This window comes from Homo sapiens, chromosome 16 (assembly GCF_000001405.40).
Source record: "Homo sapiens chromosome 16, GRCh38.p14 Primary Assembly".
NCBI classification, from domain to species: domain Eukaryota; kingdom Metazoa; phylum Chordata; class Mammalia; order Primates; family Hominidae; genus Homo; species Homo sapiens.
The window spans coordinates 79051776-79069594 of NC_000016.10; the positions used below are offsets into that span (position 1 = coordinate 79051776).

Below are 17819 nucleotides of genomic sequence, written 5' to 3' on the forward strand. Positions count from 1 at the left end.
AGTTAATTCAAAGACCTGTGCTAACATTCTTAAATATCTGCTAGCTGTAATGAAGAAATCAATGTACTTTATGTTCTTAGCTCCCACAGTTTAGCCTAAATATTTGCCCTGGCATGCTTATACTGGTCCAAGCAAGCATTAGGTCATAGCCTGTTCCTCTTCCTTATTTGAAGGTGTTTTTACCTTTCTCAGCATTCCACAAGTTACTTCGTCCTTCCTTTGTTCTCCTCTGCCTTTGCCTCTTTTTTCTTTTTTTATTTTAATTTTTTTTTTTTAATTATACTTTAAGTTTTAGGGTACATGTGCACGTTGTGCAGGTTAGTTACATATGTATACATGTGCCATGCTGGTGCGCTGCACCCACTAACTCGTCATCTAGCATTAGGTATATCTCCCAATGCTATCCCTCCCCCTTCCCCCCACCCCACCACAGTCCCCAGAGTGTGATATTCCCCTTCCTGTGTCCATGTGATCTCATTGTTCAGTTGTCACCTATGAGTGAGAATATGCGTTGTTTGGTGTTTTGTTCTTGCGATAGTTTACTGACAGTGATGATTTCCAATTTCATCCATGTCCCTACAAAGGACATGAACTCATCCTTTTTTATGGCTGCATAGTATTCCATGGTGTATATGTGCCAGCCATCCCGTTACTGGGTGTATACCCAAAGGACTATAAATCTTTCTGCTATAAAGACACATGCACACATATGTTTATTGCGGCATTATTCACAATAGCAAAGACTTGGAACCAACCCAAATGTCCAACAGTGGTAGACTGGATTAAGAAAATGTGGCCTTTGCCTCTTTTAAAAAGTTCTAAGTTGCTAGCCAGTCGGAACAAATACAGAATGTGAGGTCCCTTTCCAGCCAATGGAAACCGGACACAGCAGTAGAGTACACGTGTCAGGTTATAAATGAGCCTGTCTCCTTTGTCCGGTGTTCTCTCATGGCAAAACTGCTGGCGAGTGTACCCTTTCTGCAGAAAGTAAAAATGGCCTTGCTGAGGAAATTAAATTCCTGTTCGAGTGCTATTTCTTTATGGCACTGAGGAGCAAGCATTTCTAACAATCATATTGCTTAAGAAGTGGATGGCAAGAAGATAATTACTAATATGTCTGCAATCGATCTGAAATTGACACAGTTGATCTCACTGATTCATGGGGACCCTGGGAGTATGTTTGTGTATTTGGGGGTTGGGATGGGGGGGTGGGTGGAGGGTCAGAGAGGTGGCAAAAGCAGGTGGGAACAGGGTTACAGAGCAAAGTAATTAGATGCCCTTTAGATGCTCTTAGTTAAAGACCATGCAAAAAGGATGAAATCTTTTGATCATGTTCTTCACAATATTAGAGGTAAAACATGAACTCAACGCTTTTAGGAAGAAACAACTGGATTGCGTTTTCTATTTTATTGACAGAAACTAGATGGGGAGGCCAGGGTGTGTTTTATTATTGCACACATACGTAATTACAAAGTCTTTGCTTTTTTCCCCTACATAAATTTATTTTGAGATTTAATTTCCACCAATTAGAACCCGAATGAAGCCGTTTTAATGTGATTCCTGCATCCCAGCAACGTGGCCCTGCTTCTTAGTGCGCACGTAAAGAAACAATCCTGGAGTGAATTTTAAGTACCTAAAGTTGTGTTAGACTGCAAATGAATATCCAATTCAATTTGTAGGAAACTTTAGATTAATTAGGTTTATAATTTGCACAGTAAGGTAATGTAAATGTGTTGCTACGGCTTGACTTTTTGCTTAATCCTCTGAGTGGATATTTAATCTTTTTAATATTAGAATTAAAGCAACTTGGAAGATATGAATATTAATCTAATTATATTCCGATCACTTTAATTTCTTTAATGTTTTAAATAACAAAACAACTTTACAAATTGGTTTAGGTTGGGGAACGCTTTTAGAGGATTTTGCATCTCATCAGTAAGTGCAATTTAGAGGATGCAGGCTTGGGAAGCTGTACCTTAAGTTTATAGTTATGCAAATGAAAACCATTAATCCTGGAGCCTCTGACTTGCAAGGTGTGCTTCAGAAATTTGCAGCTTCTATTTAGGTAGGAAGAGTTTGCCAGCCCGAAAACTCCAGTAAGCAAACAGCTTTATAGTACCCCAGCCATAGAAAGTGAGAGCTTTCGAAGAATCTGTGGTTAGAACTAAGAGGATTTTTCTTTCTCCTTTTTCTGCTGTTATTATCTCAAGGAGAGAGGGAAAAAAAAAATCAGAGCAGGACATGAACAGTGCTTGCAAATTTTATTACCTCATTATAATTGATACCTGCTCTCTGAGCCAATAAAAGAAGCTATATTCAGCACTGGCTGTATAAGATCTTTAATGTTTTAGGCTGTCAATGTTGGCTGTGGTTAGGCTGACATAATTATGAGCTGCATGTACCAATATATAGCTCTTTACCCACAAAAGCATGCTGCAACGGGGAATCTTTCAGAGATAATAAAAGGATTCATCAAGTGTCTATACGATAGCTACTTAAATCGCTATTGTTTTAGTTAGGCCCGCAAAACATATCCCCCAGCTATCCCGGTTTCTTATCTTTCTTACTTGATATTTCAGGAATTTCAAGCTTTTGTACAGCTTGTTCAGTTGCATCCTAGAGGAGGAAAATGCTTTTGGCGTGATTTCCATTTCAAGATGACAACAGGGAGAAGTCTTTCCAAAATGCGCGTGTTGCAATTTCAGATTTAATCAGGGGAATACATTAATTTCTGGAACTAATTACAGATTTTAAAAGAGTGATGGGTCTGGTACAGTGGCTCACACCTGTAATCTCCACACTTGGGGCGGTCAAGGTGGGAAGATCCCTTGAGTCCAGGAGTTCAGGACCATCCTGGGCAACATAGTGAGACCTTGTCTCTATGAAAAAATGAAAAATAATTAGCCAGGCGTGGTGTCGTGTGTCTGTAAGTCCTAGCTACTCAGGAAGGTGAGGCGAGAGGATTGTTTGAGCCCAGGAGGTGGAGGCTGCTGTGAACTGTGATCACACCACCGCACTCCAGCCTGGATGAAAGAGTATGACCTTTGTCTCAAAACAAACAAAGAAAAATCATAAAAGGGAGGCAGAAAATTAACTGAAGAAATTGTGTTATAAAAGGCAGTGTTTTAAGTTCTAGAATTAAAAGCAATTGCAGCAAATACCAAGTGAGATTTTCTGTATTTTGAGAGTTTGTGTGTGCAATGGTTTTCCACTGACTAATCAGGCTGATAAAACAACCTGAAAATGGCTTTCCCATGGAGTTTATATATTTCGTCAGAGACCTAAAATGGTATAAATGTTCAATAATAGCCAGTGAATATAAAACTAAATAATCCATATGAGACAAAACAGGTAGAAGAAAAAAACATTCCTCCTCAGATATGCACCTTTTAATTGAATAAAGCAAACAGTAACAGTGATTACCAGGACACTTGCTGTTTTCTGTTATTTTGGTTTATATTGCTTAATTAGCCAGCCTTTCTAATTAACATTACATTTTGCTGAGTTCACATTGTGATAAAGATGAATATCAATTCTTTTCTACTCATCTCATTGAGAGATAGAGTTGAATTCATCTTCCCTTGTATCTAGGCTGCACTTATTCGTTTGCTTGACCAATGGAATGTGGCTGAGTGGCCGTGTAAAATGCCTGACTACCCTGAGACTGCCATGTTGAAGGAAGCCCAGCTAGCCATGTGGAGAGGCCTTGTGGAGCGGGAAATGGCCAACCTCCATCCATTGGAAGTCATCCCATTTGAGGCCCTAGATACTGAAAATCAGAAAGAAGTTACTTCCCATTCCCCACCTCAAGGCCCTGTCCAAACTGAAGATTCATGGGCAGAATAAACAATTGCTATTTTTTAAAGGTGTATGTTTGGGGTTGTTTCCTACAGAGCAATGAATAACCAGAGCAAACACCCAAGGGCAATAAATTATGAATAGTGAATTTAATTTTTCTATGTGACCTATGGAATCAGCCTATTTTATGGCAGTACAAAGTATATGTAGCAACCAAACAGTTTCTTCTTTCCTAAAACTCAAAGTGAGTCAGACTTCTTAGGCTTGTAGATGTTGAGGACTAAGCTTTGCTCTTTATCTTCTCTTTATGGATTTCCCTTTGGAAGCAGGGATAAGAAGAGGGAAGGTCTCCCAGATGTAAATTTCTCATAAATATTTGAGCTCCATTTCAGTAATTCTTTCATTCTCTGATCTGTTGCCTAATCTTCTATTTAGCAAGTACTTTCCATGAAATAGAAGGCTTTAATTGATAGAATTACTAATTTGAATAGCTTAGCACAGCTCAGCTTGTAAAAAAAAAGGAAAACCACTATCCCCATTAAATTCTCATCTTGTAAAACCAGCCATCAGCACCTCCCTGTCTTTTTACTAAAGTTTCCCTTCTTTGGTCTTTAGTGCTAAGTAATAGGCTGTCACTAGACCAAAAAAAAAAAAAAAAAAATTCAGCATTTCTTTTCATTGGAGGTTACCCCAGAACACTTAAACTTTGGAGAGGAAAATAGAACCCCTGAAGAAAAGTGAATTCTCATGACAATTTGTACATTCTTTGAAGAATGACTGTAATACATGGAGGAGTTACCTTGGACCCATGTGCAGAGTAGTGTCGTGAATGAGGCCTGTGCCTTGTCCTGTGGTTTAAGGATAGGTAAATGTATCTGGGGCAGAGGGTTGCCTGGGACAAAGGCATTATAAGCTTATTCATTTAACTTGAGTACAGGGTTTCTCAAGCTTTGGCACTGCCAACATGTGGGGTTGGATAATTTTTTGTTGGGATCTGCCCTGTGCATTGTAGGATGTTTAGCAGCATCCCTGGCCTCTACCCACTAGATGCCAGTAGCATCCCTTCCCCCTCTTGTCACAAACACAAATGTCTCCAAACATTGCCAATCCCCCTCCATTAAGGGTCATGTCTCTTGGCTGGGATAAGTCTTCTCTACCGTATCCCTTTAACTCAAGAAGTTTTTCTTGCTAAGTTTATGTGATCTTGAAAATACGGTGAGATTGAACTTGATTTTCTTTAAAGGACAAATATCTGCTTCTTCCAAATTGTCATAGGAATAGTTCAAAGCTAAAGAGCCTTTCAGGCAGGCTGGGCACTTCAAACCTACAAAACATAGTGCTAAAATTAAGGAGTGTATAGTCGTGTGTTTATAGGGACAGGATATTTATTATCTATCACTTTTGAAAATGTCATTGGCATTATCGTTCACTTTTACAAATACGAAGGAAAAATATGAAGGAGTTCTAGAAAACACCAGAAGTGATTTTGCCGCCATGGGCCTGAATTGAAGAGCTTAACCCACTAATCTGTTATGACTGCTTGGGGAGTGCTAGCGCAGGTTCTCTAACACACTGAGAGTCGTTTGGAGGGTAGTGTGAAGTGGCGTTATAGTTCTCCTTTTAATGGTTGAGACAAGAATTGCCTGGACCTCTTTTAGGATACATCACCAGTCTTCCAATGGCAAACTTATGTTTATTCCAGCTGATTCTCCCCAGCATGGGGGCATGAATTGCAGTGGAAATCAGTGGACTAGAATTTGGATGCAATTGCCCCCAAATTATCGAAGAGAAAAGAAGACCACTGTAATTCACCGGCCATAGCATTTTTACCAACTGTTTTTGCTAAGCATTAGTTTCTTGTGATAGGTTCAATTCTCAGGCTCCTTCTCATTAGAGTCTTTCTGTAAAGACCATTATTATTTCTGTTATATTTCCTGTGGCTGAGCTGAGCCGCACTTGGAGATTTGATCCATTTTAACTCTCTCATTGCCTTCAGAGAGTTGGTGATTTTGGGGGGGGCACCAGTGTGAGTCCTTTGATCCTTGAATGACAATTTGGATTTGTCTCAAGGTCCTGATAAATGGGAACTGGAGGAACTGGCCTACTATGGTATTACAGGCTAGCACATGGTTTGCATTCTGAGGGAGCTCAGAATAGGCAAGGTAGAAGACATAGGTGGTCAAGAATTTAGAAAGACCCGGACTCGAATCCCAGCTCTGATCCATCTCAGCTCTGCCATATTGCCAAGTTCCGCTGAGACTCCATTTACTCACCTGTTGTATCATCTGAATTATTTCCATATCCATAATGTGCAAGGATATCCTTCCATGTTATTAGAAATACAGATACACCATCATTATCAGTGGCCAAATCATTCAAATCGCTGTTTGCTTCTTCTCGGGCTCTTATTCAAGCTCACGATGCTATTCTCATAGTGATTGCGAATCTCACTGCATAAAGGTGATTTTGAAAACATCACTTTTCCTCCACACTAATGTGTGAGCTTAGCCAGAGTAGGAGATATATCTTACTTAAAAAAAAAAAAAACAAACAAACAAAAAAAAAAAACTCCTTCTTCATTTGTTATAGTTCCAGGATAGAGTGTGTACCTGTATAGAGAGAGTCAGGCAGATACAGGTGTGCCCTCCTTCCAAGATGTGTGATGGTGGGCAACTTTCTTTGCATCTCTGAGCCTCTATTTTCTCTATATAAAATGAGAGAGAAAAAAATAATTCCTAGATCTAGAGTTGGTGTGAGGCTAAAATAAGCTGCTTTTAGTATCACATTTGGCAAGTAGTAAACTCTGGATAAATATACTTTTGAATTGTGTGATTATTGTTGTTACCATTTATTGAAAGGGAATGATGAATGTAGTGAGAGAAGGAAGGAAGAGAGAGAGGGAAGAAGGGGAAAAAGAGGGATGGAAAGGAGGAAGGAAGGAAAGGAGGGAGGAGGCAAGTATATTAGTCATGATATAGGGAATTGAAAAGACATTCACGTTTTGTGGTGAATGAAAATAACTTGACCTTTATGAAGCTGGCCTAATCCCTGGAAGGAAAAAATTTCCTTGGATATGTGATTTATATAATCAATCAACTAGTCCTTATTTTGGTAGAGCTAAACTTCTGTCTTTGGGTTTACTCACCGTATCTGTGTGCATCCTGGCAATGTTTACGATATACTTCTACTAAAATATTATTTTATTCTATACTAACAAAGGGATTTGTTGTGTGTGTAAAATTCAAATTTCAATGAAGATTGTGTATTTTTATTTGCTAACTCTGGAAAATGTGTTTACAGAAGAACCAGAGAAGGACTTACTCCTCTCCGTACACTTTGGACATGTCAAAATCTAGAAATAGAGATCAGTAAAGGTAACACATAGCACCTTAAATCTGATTTAAAAGGAAAACAATGACTATTATACAGATTTATGGCTTCTTGTCAATAATACTCTGATTTCTGGAGATTGTTATCAGTCATAAGCTTTATAGGAAATATCTCCTTTTGAAAATGACATTTTAAATTAATGTGAAATTGTGTTTTAATTTAATTCACAGGGAGTCATAAACAGGTGGGAGAATTATGGAACAATAATTGTGTTTGCAAGAAATGGATTTCATCCTAAAACTCCATGAATATGCTATTACAGTTTGTTGTCATCCTGAAATGCTCTGTTTAACCATAAAATACAGCGTAAAAGACACCCTCATGTTGAAGTCCTTAATCTAGTGTGTAATTGCTTAAGTGAGCACATTAACTATATCGTCAACTACCTGTTCTCAAACACTTTAACAATCAGCTCACCAATATGGGTGTGATCTTGACATTGAGATGTAGAGCTTGACACCTGCATATAAAGTAGAAACTCAACAGTGTTTGAGAATTTGCCATTGCATCTCAGTCTTTTTTATTTATATGTTTTTTCTTTTTTTGAGATGGAGTCTTGCCCTGTTGCCCTGGCTGGAGTGCAATGGCGCGATCTCGGCTCACTGCAGCCTCCGCCTTCCGGGTTCAAGTGATGCTCCTGCCTCAGCCTGCCTCCCAAGTAGCTGGGATTATAGGCGCATGCCACCATGCCCGGCTAATTTTTTGTATTTTTAGTAGAGATGGGGTTTCACTATGTTGGCCAGGCATCTCAATCGTTTTACTAAGAAATTTGGAGGCCTTGAGAAATGGGTAAACTTGAAACATTTAAAAAAGTTGTTCTGCTAATTATCCTACCACGTGTGTCAGAGACAACATTACCCTCTTATTACTTAAAAGTAATTTGGACTGGTTCGCACACACAAAAATAGCTTTATTAACAACTTGAGTAATTTATCAAGTTCAGATTCTTTTTTTCCTCCAGAAATGCTGCTTTTGGTACACTGAGAGGTCATTCATTTAAAGTTTGTCCTTGGCAATTCCTTATTGAATAGATTCCATTTTATTTTATTTACATTTTGTACAAAGCTGATAAATAACTGAAACCAAATTAGCTCAAACTGGTTATATTTCTGGGTACAAACCAGGTGTATAGTTAATCCATTGTTGTTTCTGTGTCAACCACCATTGTCCTCACCTATACTTGGGCAGTGGGGGTGGGGAGGAGAACATAAAAACCCACCAAGCCTCATTTTTCTTGCTAATTTATTTCCTTGAACTTGGTGAGATTCTATCTGCAGTGTTTCCAAAAATAGTTTTGGAAATTGCAAAAATACTACAATGCTGTTGTGCCGGCCACACTGTGAGTGCTGACTGTCATGCATTTTATAGCCCATGTCCCTCTCCAGTGAGGCTTTTGGCCACTGGCCGTTAATTGGTAAGGTTCTTGAAAACTGAAGTGATGGTATCAGCATGGATGCCCGTGCTTTCTGATGCCACTGAAGATGGATAGAAGCTTCAAGTTATGCTTTGTGCAGACTGAATTTTTCCAATTTGTGCTTAGTAGCATCTTATTATATTAGACCAGCACTGACTGGTGATGAATAGCAAGATTGCTCCCTTCTAAGGGCTTGGCAAACCAAGAAGAATGCAGTGACATATGTCTTATGTCTTCAAAAGCAACTGGACACTTGAAGAGTATTTTCTAGTCTCATTTTGTAAACCCAATTACGAGCGGAGCTACAATTTTTATCTTTGTTTAATGTAACCAATGAGGCCATTGTCACTGTATGGAGAATAGCTTTAGTCCATATTCTCTGTTTTTTAAGACTCTCAGTCTCCTTGCAGGTGCCTTTGGAGAGTTAGGTGTTTGCTGTGATTTGAGGGATAGTGGCCAATAATTTTATTGAAATGAATATTGGTTAATTAAAGCTTATTGTATGCCATGGGCCATTCTAAGAACTTCCATCCACCCAAAAGCACTATGAAATAGATGTTGTTATTTCACTGATGGAAAAACAAGCACAGAGAGGCTAAGGAATATGCTGAAGCTTGCACAGCTAGTAAATGGCAGAACATTCAGACTGGAATTCAGACTTATACACTCACATTCATACCACACAGCCTCTCGAAGGGACGTGCCCCTTGAACGCAAGAGAGGTACATTGGGTGGCCATGGTGCTCACAGTCTCTCAATCCTTTATGTTGAGGGAGAAATGATAACCAGATCTCATTTTGTGTGCCAACCCGAAAGCCTGACTTGACTGCCTAAAATGTTAGGAAGGACTCTAAAGCCCTATCTGGATTCCAAATTTATGGTTGGTGCAGACTGGATTTTTACAATTTGTGCTTAGTAGTATCTTATTATATTAGCCCGGCACTGACTGGTGATGAATTACAAGATTACTCCCGTCTAAGGGCTTGGCAAACCAAGAAGAATGCAGTTCCACGATCCACTTGGAATGTGTGCAGTGAGTGTGGGAGGACTGGTATAAGTAGCAAAGCACTTGGCACTCTGGGTGTAAAGCATTCAGATCTCTTGCAAAATGCAAATTTTACCTGCGGGGATACCCATTCAACAATTAGAAGCTGCTGATTTCTGGACGAGAGTTAGTTTATTTAGAAAGTAACACTCAGAGACACTGGGACAGAGAACAGATCCATTTTAAGGCTGTGTGAGCACTGATCCATGACAGTATTGGTTCAGGGGCAAAGAATGGGAGGAAAGAAAAAGACAAGTTATAGCTGCACTGAAAACAAACTGGGCATGTCCTAATTTTGCTCAGGGCTACTTCTCTTAGAGTCGTTAAGGTTTTGAGCATATTAACAGCAATACTGATCATAGCTAATATGCCTCTATGTCAGGCTCTGTACTGGGTTCTTTGAGTATACTCACCACCTCCTGACAAGGTTTTGGCAGCCTTACTTGGTAGACACTATGATTCCCATTACATACATGGAATGTACAGTAACTGAGGATCACTGTGATATTGGGAAAGTGGGACTTCAGACGCTAGCCTCCCCTTGTAGTGCCTGCATTCTTTTCACAGCCCCTCCCCACCTTAGAATCATTTTCTTCAAGGGAGAGTATGGTTTGTGATGCCCTTATCAGCAAAACTTCAGCTAGAAGATGCAAGGGTGAAATACACCTCCCCACCCCACGTGATCTCATAGCACAGAATGACTGGCCACCCCAGACTGAAGGTTAGGGAGACTGGGGGCCCCAGACTCAAGGTTGGGGAGACTGGGGAGAGGGAAAGCGAGGAAGAAGCGTAAGTGTATCTTACAGTTTAAAACCATAATGGGACATATCATTTTCTTAGTTCTCCATTTATTAATAAAATGCCCAATACCTTCTGGCATGTGCTTTGAACTGCTTTTAATTATCTTCAGTTGGATGGAGAAAAGGTAATGGGGACCTCATAATAGTCGTGGAGGGACAACTGGGATTTATTTCCATAGGGAAGGCAGAGACTGTTTGCCAGGGAACCAAGGCCTTTCAAAGTTGAGGACACTTCCCGGTGCCGTGCGGTGTAAATCACAGTGCAAACTATGCGATTATCCCCTGCAGAGGAATCGAGTGTGACTTTATGGGATTCTTCACCAAGCACTTAGGAATAATCTGATATAAAACAGCAGGGGTGGAGAGTAATGACAACTTCAAATTAGTTTAATGAATGTTTACATTTAAAAAAAAAAGGCTTTTCTGCAAACCTGAAAATAAGAAGTGACAGCTTCCTTTCCTATTTCCCTTGCAAGAGGTACCTCCTGGTTTTCAGCCTGAGGAGGAAGGTGGCTTTATTTAACTCCTTCAGCCCCGGAACATCACAGGGCCCTTCTTTGTGCATTCTGGGTTCTAACAGCCCCTTGAACAGTGCTTGAGAGTATTTCCATTATAAATGTCGAATCGGCATTGAAGGAACATCTGTTTTAAGTCAACTTAGACTCAATCCAGGAAAAAAAATAAATTTCTGGCTGTCCACCTGCTCAAAAGGTCAATTACCCACCCAAATCAGCCAGAGATGGCTGATGGGCTACAGATGCCGAGGATATTTTTAGCAGGATTTTGGCAGGTACCCTGCTTGTTGAATGCAGCAAAGAAGAGGGAGGTTGATAAACCATTATACTGTTTGAAAGTTGGTGCCGCGCCAAATCTCCCACCAAATCTGGATGGTGCTTTTGAGCTATTTCCCCACTTCTGCTGAAGAAGGATTCATTTCAGTAGAAGGAGTGGGATAGGAAATGTTCACATTGCTTGCAGTATGTGAAATAGACCTCGAGGTATTTTGGATAAAAAAGCAACATTCGTGTTTTAGATATGGTTACCCAGCCCAAGCCGCCTCTGCTCTTTATAGCCGTGTTTTTGAAGTGTTCTTATTTTTTGTTCCGAAATCGGAATATTTCCTGGCGTGCGTATCTTGGCCCCATCACATCACAACAGGCTGAATGCTGTCCACAGGTTGCCAGTCTGGATATGGAATATTAGTCAAAACGATATAAACTAACTTGGTCTCTGCTATAGGAGGGACAAAATAACTACAAAACAAAAGCAAGAAATAAAACAAAACCAAACAAAAGCCTGCAGTGTTTGGGCCCCTTTCAGGGATATCTGGAAAACCAAATGGAGAATTCCAGGAGCGGATTTGGAAACAAGGTTGGGTCTACTTTGGCCTTTAAGCCATCACTAGAAACACTGACTCTTGCGCGCTAGAGTGATGTTTTTCCTTCTCTTTTGGATTGACGTGCCAGCACCTCAAGAAACCTCTGTGAAAAATCCACAGGTCTTCAAGAACCAGAAGAAAACAGAATAAAAATAGCTCAAAATAAAAATGAAAATGAAAATAGAGCAAACATCCATTTCTGTGGGACCTAAAGAGTTGGGAAACCTAAACAACCAGATGATGATAGCTGTTGCTGCTCTTCCTGAAATCAATTTTAAAGTAGGAATTGTCAAAGATAATGAGACTAGTATGGAGCAAAAACTGGCAATTTTCAGTTAACCAGAATGTTGCATGAATTAGAACCCCAGATTTTCCTGGAGATGACTCTAGCCAGGCCATTTGAGGACAAGTTGCCAAATATTTGTATTTTAGAAGCCTCAGAAGTGTGCACAATTTTCTAGTTCTCAACAAGGCACTACAGCAACATGTCTAGTGTTTATGTAAATGATCTTTATAAATCCTCTAGCTGATAGAGAGTTTTCTTCCATCACAGGCAAAATGTGGGTTTAGATGCAATTTGTAATATTGTTGTACAAGAGTGGGGTCCTTTCACTGACATATACGAAGTGTTGTAATACAAGGCAAAGAAAATACAAACCCATCCTTAGTCATTTAGAAAGACAACCTGGTTGAGAATTTAAGATGATGGTTTAGGGCATAGCTTGTGGAATTCGATGGGTTGCACTGTAAGTTTCAGTTTCCTTATCTGTAAAAGTAGGAATAATATCTAGACCTAAAGGTTATTTTGAAGATTAAATGAGATAATGCGTGAAAAGTGCTGACTCAGCACCTGCAGAACCCATGCGTCGTCATCATCACGTTTGTTGAGGGATTTGAGGCGTGTCTAGGAACGCAGATGTGGAGACACCTGGAGCATCTTCAGGAGCTGTTTCTGCGGATTCTCATGTGGCTTATCAAGCACAGGAAATAGTTTTCCTGGAAAGACATGGAGCAAAGCAGTTATTTAGCCGTCCATCCGGCACTGCCAACCTCTTCGTGTTCCTGCAAGGATTAAATGAGAGATGGTGACAGTAGAGAGTCAGCCCTGAGGGAGGAGTGTACAATTCATGGGCTACTATTCCATGTGTGTGGGTCAGGAGACGCTTAAGGCATTCACAGCACTGGGTGTGAGGAAGGATGCAAATAAGCTTAACTTATTTATGAATTATCTGCCCTGGAATGGCATTCTAATGTTGTGTTGGAAGAGAGACAAGAATGTGCTGGGAGGATACTCAGTTTATAACGGACGTTCTGATGGCCAGTGCAAATGGCGCCAGGAATCTGTGTTTATAGAGATGGAGCATGGATGCCCCTGAGCACCTGTGTGTGTGCGAAGGGTGAATGGGTTGCTGGGAGTTCGTCGGTTGTTTAGGGAAGCACTTACGTGTATGCCTGTGTGTGTCTCTAGGACTCACTCTCCACTTCCCACCTTACTTATTATTAGTGTTCTTGTTTCTCTTCGCTATGGGGAAATGCAGATAAACCGTAAAAACTTGATAGAGTGAACAAAGGCTTCGGAAGCTTCCTTAGTTCTTATAATTGCTCAATGGGTTCTTCTTGCCTGCTGCACAGGTAAAACCCAGTTCACTGAGATGACATTATGGCAGGAAAGAAAGAGTTTAATTAACACAAGTCCAGCCAAGCAAAAGGACAGGAGTTTATTATTACCCAAATCAGCCTCCCCGAAAATTTGGAGGCTAGTGTTCTTCCAGGATAGTTTAGCAGGAAGGGAGCTAGGGAATGGAAAATGCTGATTGGTTGGGGATGAAATCATTGAAGTGTGGAAAATGGTCCTCGTGCACTGGGTCAGCCTCAGTTCCAGTTGAATCACAAGTCCCAGGCCTAGGTGGGGTCAGTGGGTCATCAAAATGCAAAAGTCTGAAAACCATTCCAAAAAAACCAGTCTTAGGTTCTACAATAGTGATGTTATCTACAGGAATAATTGGGGAAGTTCCAAATCTTGTGACCTCCTATGCCTACATCTTAGCTGAATTCAGACCCCTCTCCTAATCCTAACCTTGTGGCCTTTTAGGAGCTTTACAAAGGTGGTTTCATTTCGGGAAAGGCTGTTATCATTCTTGCTTTAAGATTAAAGTATAAACTAAATTCTTCCCAGTGTTACTTTGCCCTATGCCCAGGGATGAGTGAGGACTGCCAGCCCGTGGGGCTAGAAGCAAGATGGAGTCAGCTATGCTGTCATATTCCTCTTATGGTCACAATTTCACAAAGGTGGCTTCATTCTCATGACCATTGCTCCCAGGCATTGTTCTTGAATACCTTAGAAAGTTTCATTAGCTCATGTCTCTCCTCTTTGTACCACCTTCCAACATTTCCCTACTGCCTTGGACATTAAAGTCCAAATCCAGTCTGTTCATCATGATCTGTGGAGCCTTTGATAATCGCAGCCTCCAGCTTCTCCTTCACACCTGTCTCCTGTCTCCTGCTTTTTCTTTTTGTGCACTGCCCAAGAACCTTTTCATCTACTAATCTTTGAGTTTGCCGTCCTCTCTTCCTAAATCACTCCCCTCCCTCCACTGTTCCACGTGGGACGTTCCTTCCAGAGAGGCCTCCCTTAAGCCCACCTTCCATACCTCCTCTGGTTATCCTCAGTCATGAGGCCCTGCTTCCTCCCGCACACTGAGCACAGGCAGTACCTGCTTTACTCATGTACTTGTTTATTATCTGTGTCACCCAGTGGGACATAGTAGACTCCATCAGGGCTGGGAAGGAATCTGCCTTCGTCACCATTTTGACATCATTATCAAGTGCGCAATTAGGCTCACAGTTGAGCTCAACATAGGATCTGTGGAAGGAAAGAAGGACAGAAGGAAGGAAGGGGGAAGGGAAGAAGGGAGGAAGGGAGGGAAGGAAGGAGGGAATAATTTCCAGGAAGCCTCATTGGATTTCTTTCCCCCTTATTTCTGAAAGCTCACCTCTTTACAGCTGGCAAGGCCAGCAGAACTGAACAATAGAGCCGGATTAAGCAAGCATTCAGGTGCCCACTTAATTCAATCGGCGAATTTGCATTTCTCAGGCTCTGTGCCATGAGAGCCTGCCGCCTCAAGGGACCACCTGCCTTCTACCAGAAGGACTTTGCTCCTTGGAGAATTTCCCTCTGGCAATGGTCCAGGTCAAACGAGGTACCATACAAATGTGGCTTGTCACCATTTTCCAGTTTAACTTTCTCAAGCCTTGGCTGCCTCGATTTCATTCCAGACTACAGTAGCAGCTGAAAAGGTAGCTACCATTGCAGTCGAAGACACTGGCAGATGGGACTGGCTTGTTGGCAGAGATGGCAGAGATGGCAGAGATATGAACTATCTCTGAAAGGGCATTCTGCATGCCACAGTTAAGTGCTCTGTTGAAGGACGGCTCTGGAAGGGAGCATCCGCGAAATGAATAAGAAGGTGGTTATTAGTGAGGTCTCCCTGAAAGGAGCATAGCTGGATGCAATCCTTGGAGGCCCTGTCTAGGGCCTGTCTGGGGCTCCAGCTTTCATAGGGCCGGCCATCCCCTTTGCTCTGGGTGAGATCTGTCTTTGCTTCTGGTGATTCTGATATTCACTATCGAGAACGATTGCTTTAAAACACATCAGATCAAAGTTTTCTAAAATCAGAGTAAAAGCTAAAACCTTTGCAAGGTCCTGCATGACTTGAGTCCCTGTTCCTCCCTTGACATCAAAATGGCTGTTGTCTGCTCTCGCTCTCTCTCTTTCTCTCTCTCTGCTTCAGCTGTCCTGACCTCCTTGACCTTTCTTAAAAACTTTATGAAAACTCCACGTTTGGGCTTCCCTCCACCTGAGATGCTCTTCTCGGCTCCTGTGAGGGCTACCCCTTTACCCTTTATAGTGTCTGCCCGGACATCTCCTCACTAGAGACCTTCCCTGACCACTGCCACATGGAATAGTACTAATACTTCATGCTCATCCTCTGCCTGCCCTGGGTTTTTAATTTGTGCGTGTGGGTGGGGTGGGGGGCGGGGGGGGGCACTTATCACCACCTGCATATTATGCTTTTGTGCATTTCAGGTTGGTCTTTCCCGCAAGAAGGTAAACTCATCTGCAGCTGTATTCGCTGTGCCTATGGTAGTGCCTGGCAAATGCACAGAAGTGGGTATTACTGAGGACTTTGTGGTTCGAATGGAATGAGTGTGCTGCTGACAGTGTTGCGAGTCATCTGCAAATGAAAAGTCCTTCCTTCTCTTCCCTTCTGGAACCTTCCAAAGAGGCTAGCCTCCTGAGAGGGCGTCTCCTGGGAATGCCTGTGATCCAGGCAAGGCACCTAAATCAGCCAATAAATAATTAGTTTTGAGAAAAAAGCCTGCACAAAAGCAGAACTCACAGATTTTCTCATTGATCTTCCTGCCTTTGCCTTGGCCATGGTCAGTCTTTGGGGCTATTAGCTGCATGTACAAGTGCACAGGGGATGGGAGGGGGGCTCCGGAAGATCCCTAACCCATTGTGGACACACCATTTATGTTAGTGGAATCTGGTAAGAGTGATTGAGGAGAGAGCATTGGGTGAATGACCCTGTAATCCTTATAAAAATAGTAGCAACGGTAACTAATGATGTTTATGAACTGCCTAAGAATGCCATGACTGTGTCAAGCACTTCCCATAACTAGCTCATGTAAAGCCTGTAACCATCTTGGGGGTGAGGACAATTATGTCCCATTGTGTTATGTGTCTGTGTTTGCAGGAGTTGTTCAGTGGTAAGGTGCAGTCAGGACTTAAACCCGTGTTCCTGAGAGTAGCTCTGTGCTGCCTGACACACTCCTTCCTCCTGAATGCACAATCATATGTTCACGTGCCACATGGTTTTCAGAAAGCACTGCACGTGTAGGAAGCTCAAGACAGAGACGTGGCTGGTCACGGTGGCTCATGCCTGTAATCTCAACGCTTTGGGAGGCTGAAGCAGGAGGATCACTTGAGCCTAGGAGTTCGAGACCTGGGCAACATGGTGAGACCCCCATCTCTACAAACAACAACAACAAAAAAAAAAATTAGCCAGGCGTGGGGGTGCATGCCTGTGCTCCCAGCCACTCAGGAGGCTGAGGTGGGAGGATGGCTCGAGCCCAGGAGGCCAAGGCTGCAGTGAGATATGACCTCACCACTGCCCTGCAGCCTGAGCTATAGAGCCAGAACTTGTCTCAAAAAAACCCAATAATAATAATAATAATAATAATAATAATAATAATAATAATAAAGAAAGCGAGAGAGGAGGTAGGGAATGAATGCCGAAAGTGGTTCCTTGGGTCTGATGCCCACGCTTAACCGATTCCCAGCCAAACATTTCACAGTTGTCTTACGCACAGGCGTAAGATATGCATCTATCTTGGTGTGCACCTGAGAAGTAGTTATGTCTAAGTTTCCGACTTGACTTGGTAGAGTCATTTGATCAGTAAAGCGCAGAGCAGATGAACTACCTGGAAAGAAAGTGCCGGAACTCCCCACGTGTGACATCTCACTTCGGGGAAAGGTGGGCCCTGCGCTGCGCTTGGCGAAGGTAAATGCACCTGGGTATCCTCTTGACCTGGAATGGTGGAAAATAAAGAAAACTTCAGCATGTAGCAAGTAGTTGTGAGTACGATTAATGCTGTTTAGAGTTGCCAGTTCTCTTACGCACTCAGCGAAGGCCGTGTGGCTTCGCATTAATCACCACCAAGCCAACATGAGCTTCCAGCAAAAGAGCCCAGTGATTGGGAACAAATTCAAAACAGCTTTATTTCATTGACAGACAGGACCTTTTTGTTAAACTGTGGTTTAAAGACCTTTACATCTCTGTCTTGTTCACACGTTACTGTAGTCATTTACGTAAACTTAGGAACTAAGAACCGACTTATTTATCACAACCTATTGGCAGGAAAAGGGTCACATAAAAAAGAATCTTTATTGGTAGGTTTTTTTTTTTTTTTAAAGCTAATAAACAGTGCTAG

The 17819-nt window shown here is 41.7% G+C and overlaps 1 protein-coding gene across 2 annotated transcripts in view, besides 1 other annotated feature; it reads left to right on the top strand.

Annotated features, from left to right (window-relative positions):
* The window catches only part of WWOX (WW domain containing oxidoreductase), a 1113014-nt gene that overhangs the window by 952122 nt on the left and 143073 nt on the right, over nt 1–17819 (top strand). The gene's annotated exons all lie outside the window — the stretch shown is intronic.
* Nucleotides 1598–2293: an enhancer, noted in NCBI's record as "OCT4-NANOG hESC enhancer chr16:79087270-79087965 (GRCh37/hg19 assembly coordinates)". NCBI's record gives its function as "activates a minimal SCP1, AML or CMV promoter by ChIP-STARR-seq in naive H9 embryonic stem cells {active_cell/tissue: H9 hESC(naive)}" and the evidence as "EXISTENCE:reporter gene assay evidence [ECO:0000049][PMID:30033119]".